The sequence below is a fragment of the Homo sapiens genome, chromosome 7 (genome assembly GCF_000001405.40).
Source record: "Homo sapiens chromosome 7, GRCh38.p14 Primary Assembly".
In the NCBI taxonomy this organism is placed as follows: domain Eukaryota; kingdom Metazoa; phylum Chordata; class Mammalia; order Primates; family Hominidae; genus Homo; species Homo sapiens.
The window spans coordinates 35,532,927-35,540,116 of NC_000007.14; the positions used below are offsets into that span (position 1 = coordinate 35,532,927).

Below are 7,190 nucleotides of genomic sequence, written 5' to 3' on the forward strand. Positions count from 1 at the left end.
GGAATCAATTACTCATGCCCCTGGAATCAGGGGGATAGAGAGTCATTTCAAGAAATATATTTTGATTACCTACTATGTGCCAGGCATTGGTAGAGACCTGGAGATTCAAAGATGGAAAGCACACTCATCAGACTACCGGAGCTGCAAAGAAGAGAACGGCATAGGCCACCTTCTGCAATGGAAGTGAGTTGCATAGATCATAAAAGTATGCATTTAGCAGGAGTTGCCCTGATACACACATAGTCACCCAGATCCCAGAATTCCTGAACCAGGACCTGTGATAGGCATTGCAGAGAAGCACTGCCTGCAGCTGCCTTCAATGGGCCTCCTCCAGAACTCTGCCCACTACAAAGGCTGGGCTGGGGCTAAAGGAATTGCTTGGGGATATTCACTGTAAAAATCCTTTCAGCTCCACCATGCGTTTGAAATTTTTCACTAAAAAAAAAAAAAAAACGTGAGAGAGAAAGAAGAAAGATCTGTTTTTTAAACCAGTGCTTCTTAGACTTTAATATGCCTATGAATCATCTGGTGATCTTTTAAAACACTGATTCTGAATGGGGGAAAGGGCGCAGAATAGCCAGCTCCCAGGTTATTCCCAGTCCAGCAGCAGCACACTGCCAGGAGCAAGGCCAAACACAGCATGGTGACTGCGGTTAATAACAATGCATTGTATACTTAAAAATTGCTGAGAGAGTAGATTGTAAGTATTCTCACCACTAAAAAAGGAGTATGTGAGGCAATGCCTATGTTAATTAGCTTTATTAAGCCATTTCACAATGTATACATATTTTATTTTTTAGGTTACAGTCTAGCTTCAGGAGGTACACATGCAGGTTTGTTACAAAGGTATATTGTGTGATGCTGAGATTTGGAGTATAATTGATCCCATCACCCAGGTAGTGAGCATAGTATCAATGGGTTGTTTTCCAACCCTTGCCTGCCCCCCATCTCCCCTGTTTTGTACTCCAGTGTTTGTTGTTCTCATCTTTATGTCCTTGTGATATGGTTTGGCTCTGTGTCCCCACCCAAATCTCATCTCAAATTGTAATCCCACGTGTCAGGAGAGGGGCCTGATGGGAGGTGACTGAATAGTGGTGGCAGACTTCCCCTTGCTGATCTCATGATAGTGAATGAGATTTCACAAGATCTGGTTTTTTGAAAGTGTGAGGCACTTCCCCCTTTGTTCTGTCTTTCTCCTGCCACCACGTGAAGATGCGCTTGCTTTACTTTCATCCTCTGCCATGACTCTTACAGTCACTGAGGCCTCCCAGTCATGCTCCCTGTTAAGCCTGTGGAACTGTGAGTCAATTAAACTTCTTTACTGGCCGGGTGCAGTGGCTCACGCCTGTAATCTCAGCACTTTGGGAGGACGAGGCAGGCAGATCACCTGAGGTCAGGAATTCAAGACTGGCCTGGCCAACATGGTGAAACCCCGTCTCTACTAAAAATACAAAAAAAAAATTAGCTAAGCATGGTGATGGGCACCTGTAATCTCAGCTACTCGGGAAGCTGAGGCAGGAAAATCTCTTGAACCCAGGAGGCGGAGGTTGCAGTGAGCCGAGATCTTGCATTGCACTCCAGCGTAGGCAAGAAGAGTGAAACTCCGTCCCAGAAAAAAAAAAAAAAAAAAAAAACTTTTCTTCATAAATTACCCAGTCTCAGGTAATTCTTTGTAGCAGTGTGAGAACAGACTAATACACCATGTGTGCCCAATGTTTAGCTTATGAGTGAGAACATGCGGTATTTGGTTTTCTGTTTCTGCATTAGTTCACTTAGGATAATAGCCTCTAGCTGCATCCATGTTGCTGCAAAGGACATGATTTTGTTCTTGTTTGTAGCTGTATAGCATCCTATAGTGGACAATGTATACATATTTTGAAATATCAAGTGGTATACCATAAATATACACAATTTTTATTTTTAATGAAAAATAACTACTTTCTAAAAGGCCTAAAGTGCTACACTACAAAAAGGTGTGAGTGTGCTCCAACAGATCAGATCCATTGAGTATAATAGATACACTAGGTGAGGCAACTCTGAGTGGTGAGAAAGGGTGAAGAGCCCTTCCCAGGGGATGTGGAAAGCAAGGGGACCTGTGGCATTAAATACATGGTATTTGCAAGCAGAGATGGGGCTCCAAGGTGGGTCTCACCATTGGCTATTCATTAAAACCCTCCAGGGTAGGTTAAAAATTATGGCCCCACTCCAGTGATCATGATTTAACAGATCTCAGGTGCCCGGGCATAGAAAGTTTTGTTTTGCTTGTTTTTTGTTTGTTTGTTTTGAGATGGAGTTTCACTCTTGTCACCCAGGCTGGAGTGCAGTGGCACCATCTCGGCTCACTGCAAGCTCCGCCTCCCAGGTTCAAGCGATTCTCCTGCCTCAGCCTCCTGAGTAGCTGGGATTACAGGCGCACGCCACCACGACTGGCTAATTTTTTTGTGTGTTTAGTAGAGATGGGGTTTTGCAATGTTGGGCAGGCTGGTCTCGAACTCCTGACCTCAGGTGATCCACCTCCCTCGGCCTCCCAAAGTGCTGGGAATACAGGTGTCAGCCACCATGGCCAGTCAAAAATTTTTAGAAAACCTTTCTGGATAATTCTAATGCACACCCAGAGTTGACAACAGGTGTCCTGCACTGATTCTCACCTGTGTGTTCCGAGCTGGCAAGCTGAGATGCAGGTGTCCTTCGTGATGGGCTGTCTCCTTACTCTGCCTGCAAGGACTGAAGCTCAGCAGGGGTGAGAGTGATTTTCTTTACCCCACAGGGAGATTGGGCTGTGCGGCGCCACCCCCAGTCATGCCATCACGCAGCATGGGGCAGCCTTTCCTTTCATCATGCATTCTTGCAGCTGGCAAGGAATTTGGGACCCATAAGGCAGCAGTCAGCCCAAACCAAGGCCCGCAAGGGCCCTGTGACCTCCCTGCAGTCACTTTGCCAGGAAACAAACACACCAGGAGTGAGGTGAAGGCCCAGTACCTCCCAGACCAAGGCTCCCTCTAGGAAACCTGTGAGAACATACTTTTGACCATCAGGTGCAGATGTCCCCAGGCCCTCTCCAGGGGAAGAAAGGATTCTGTGGCCTCCATCCGTCTCACTAGAGCAGCGCTGAAGGGAGAAGGGGAAGGGAGCCGGGAGCTGCTTGATTAGCTCCTATACACCATGCACCTGGTCGGAAGCCATCCCAAGTACCATCTCTTCTAATCCTCACAGCATATGGGGACACCATGGTCTTGAGTGGTGGGTCTGGTTGTACCCATCTCCCCTGCTGGGCCCCCAGGGGGCCTCTCCAATGTAAGGGTAAAGAGTCCAGGCAAGAAGCTGGGTTTCCATTTCTGTTTGGAGACACCACTGGGTGGGCCAAGTTCTGAGGCCCACCAAGGACTGACAGCACCAGCCAGGGGCTCCCCTCCAACCTCCACCCCAAGACACACAGGAGCTTGATTCTATTTCACCAACCAAGGGCTCCTCCTACCCAAATCCACGTTCTAGTTACAGATAGCAGAGTCCACTAGAGGGTCATGAATCACTCCTATTATTTGCAGTTCTGAAACCAATCAGTCTAAAAGGTCAGCCATCCCTCGCATTGAGCACACTCTCATAGTTAGGCCACAGCAACCTGGGGACTCTGGCCCTGGCCCTTTGACCTGCCGCAGTGACTGCCTGTGTGCCAGTGGGAGATGGGACACAGAACAACCTTCTAGACAACAGGGCGCTGCTCCCAGTGGCTGCACGGCCCAAACCCATGACTGAAATCAGAAGAGAAGCCAAGTCCAGGACAAGAAATCCTCCCTATTGCCAAGCCAAACACGACGTCGTGGCAGCTAAGGCCTCGGCAGCACCTTCCCAAACTGTGGAGAAGGAAGCAGAGCCGCTCTCTCCCGTGAGATGTCAGACTCTCCCAGGCCACCAAAGGAAAGTCTAGTGGGTGGCACCTTCCCTGCACACCCCGGAGTAAGGGTGGGAACTGCTCATATCCTGGCATGAGTGAATGAGTGAGTGAATGAATGATACTCATTGATCTCTGCTCTGAACTAGGCACTGGGAAGGGGCCTTTTACAGGCTGCCTCAGTAAATCCTCACCGCAAAGTAGATGTAGTCTGGCCCCAAACAAGGCCCAAGGAGGCTGGCTAACCTGCCCATGTCACTCCGATAAGGGGCACATGACAGCCGGGGACCTGCAGGATATGTTAAGGGCCCTAGGCCAAGTGAACCCCCAGAAGGCCAAGGTCATTTCCTCCCAGCCACCGCCTTCTGAACTGGAGGACTGAGACACACCTGGAAAACAAAGCCCACAGACACACCCAAACCCCGAAGGAGAAAGAAGTGCGGACTGGGGACCTGCTTTCAGGACCGCCCAGGCTGACTCTGGGCCCGCGGCAGGGCGGGGCGGGGGGCGGGGGGGCGGAGTTGGGGGATAGGACTCGAGCACCCCCCGGGGCAGAGCATTGCCGGGTGAGCCGCATCCCTGCCTGGAACATATGAGAGGTGCGGGGTGTAGGGGAAGTGGGAGCACGCGGGGGGTCTGGGGAGGGGACAGACCGAAGGCAGAGACCACCGCGACAGACACCTATCGAACTTCACGCTAAGGACTGCTCGTTTTACTGATCCGGACTCAGCCCTTAGCGCTGGGCGGTACCACGCGCCGCCAGTGCGGATCATCTGGGCACTGGCGCCACCTAGTGCTGGCAGCGCGGCAATGGCCCTTTTACCGACTCGCGCGTCTATAGTGCGGCCTCACACAACCTCTGCGGAGTCCATGAGCCCTGGAGAGCACAAGTGGTTTGTTTAAGGATAGGGCAGAAATGGGCCAGGAGCTCAGCCTCCTAATCACCAGTCCTGGGGCCCCTACGGAGCACCTTGGTTCTCAACTGTGTGTGGGCTGCAACACAAGGGACAGGACCTTCCCAGACCAGAGCCACAGTTGCAGGCAGATGGTCTGCTCCCTCCCTCGGCCACCAGCTGTGCCCTCCTTTCATCTTATGAAAAATGTATCCCTAGGTTACAATTGAAAAGAAAATAAAACTTCCAGCAGTATCAGAAATCACAAGCCCTAACTGCAGTTGACACAACTAAATAAGGTTTCAGCAGTAAGATTGCTCCCTGAGGCCTCCGCAAGTCTAAAAATCTGCAAATCATGCACATCCCTGAACTTCTCATTTCACCCTCTTTACCCCTTATTCTGGAACGATGAAGGGGAAACACATGTGCATGGGTGCAATTATCATACAGCAATCTTTGCCTATGTGCTAATTTATAAGACAAGTGAATTGTCCACAAACCGTTGGTCCTTTAGCAATTACTAATGACCAATTGCCAATGGGCCAACACGTTGCCGAGCTGTTGTTCCGGAAGGTGGAAGCTCCCTGCTCTATGCCATGCGGCCCTCTCCTACAATGAGAACCATCAGGCAACCATCCACCCAAGCCTAGGCTCTCAGAACTTGCCTTAGAAGTCACTGCTTGACAGCCATCCTTTCCATAGGAAGGTGAACTGCGATTCCAACCAGTCAGCACATACTCCCTCCGTGGGAACAGACAGCTTGAATCCAGGCAGAGGAACAAGCTTTTGCTGTGCTGTGGTTCTCTGTTGAGGCTAGAGAGACTGGAATGCTCTTTCCCTAGATTTGCCCTCAATCTTCAAGGCCAGCGCCTCCAAGACATCTTCCCTGGCTCGCCCCTGCACAGCATGGTGGCCCCCCCAACCTCTCCTTCCTCCCACAGCACCCTGTAGTAAAATTCAAACAAAGCTTTCTGCTGAAACCTTCGCATGGCTTTCATTGCTCTGACAGAAACCAAAGCCACCCCCGCGGCCCTTCCTGGTCTGGTCTTGCCTCCCAGCCCCTCCCTCACTCCACGGCCTCTTTTCTTCTGCTCTCCAGCCCACCCACCTCCGCTCGGACCCTCGGTTTCACCTCCAAAGAGTCTAGTACACTCTGAGCCCTCAGCCTGAAATGCTCTTCCCTCCTCTGTCCGCCTGGTCACATCTCCTTGGGGAAGCCCTCCCCGACCTCCTTAAAGGGCCAGATCACCCTGTTGGAGGTTCTTTGGGCACCTTCATGGCACATGTTCATGTTCTTACTTGGCCAACATAAGCCCTGCCAGGGTTGAACATTCCAGGTTGGGTTTTGTTCATCTTCTACCCCACAGTTGCTGTGGCATTCCACAAGAATAATAGCCATGTTTATGGGGTACCTGCTCTGAGTTGAACCTTGTGGAAGTGCTTTAACCATGTCCTCTCCCTCATCTCAGAGCAACTGTAAAAGGGAGATCACCCACATTTCACAAAGGAAGACAAAGGGGATGAGTCACAGCTCACAGCTGTGAAGAAGCGGGGCTGGGATTTGAACCCAGGGGTTTCTGATGGCAAAGCCTGTACTCCTAGCTACTACTCTATATACCCTGCCTGTCCATTATAGCACCTGCCTCACCAGTACACTGTACTTACAACACCTCCCTCCAGGGAGCTCCCACCAGACAGAGCCCCTCACACCCTCTGTCCCATCCCCTACACTCTGCACATCACTCAGTGGCTGACACGGTAGAGATTCAGTATATGTCTGTTTGTTGAAACCAGGCCCGATAATATGAAAGCAAGGTTCTTTCTACACAGATGAATAGACTGAATGGCCAAAAACATCATTTGCCAAAGGTATTCTGGGAACAGCACTGTCTTGGGATGTTAATAAATGTGCGTCAAACGTGGGCTTCTATCAGCAGATAAAGGTGAGGAGGTAATCACAGTGAACAGACATCCACAGAGGCCCTGATGGTGGGGATTCTCGTCTTTCAAAGCTAATGTGTATTCAGAGCCCTGTGAGGGGGTTGGGGCAGGTGCCTTTTCCTCAAACAACCGTGATGCCAGAACCTTCTTTTCAGGGGGTCCAGTACCAGACTAGAGTCCCACAGAAACTCTAACCCACGGCACCACTTTTCCCCTCACTTTGTGAAGTGTGGGTGGCTCTGACATCTTCAGGATGGCACTGGTCCTGTGCGTGGCGATGGTAAATCTAATAAATAATTGAATATTCAATAACACTCAACTACAGGGGCTCTATCAAGTTCCAGCTTTTAAGTCTGGTTTATTCAGCCAGAAACAGCATGGCAGCTGCTTCTGCTGCCACCCTTCGTGGCATGGCTTTCCACTTTCTTGGTCTGTGGATCCACATTAGTGACGCAGAAATCCCCATG

General features: G+C 50.3%; 1 annotated feature.

Moving 5' to 3' along the window:
- Nucleotides 4,617-4,686: a silencer, noted in NCBI's record as "silent region_18095". NCBI's record gives its function as "represses an Ori minimal core promoter by ATAC-STARR-seq in GM12878 lymphoblastoid cells {active_cell/tissue: GM12878}" and the evidence as "EXISTENCE:reporter gene assay evidence [ECO:0000049][PMID:35858748]".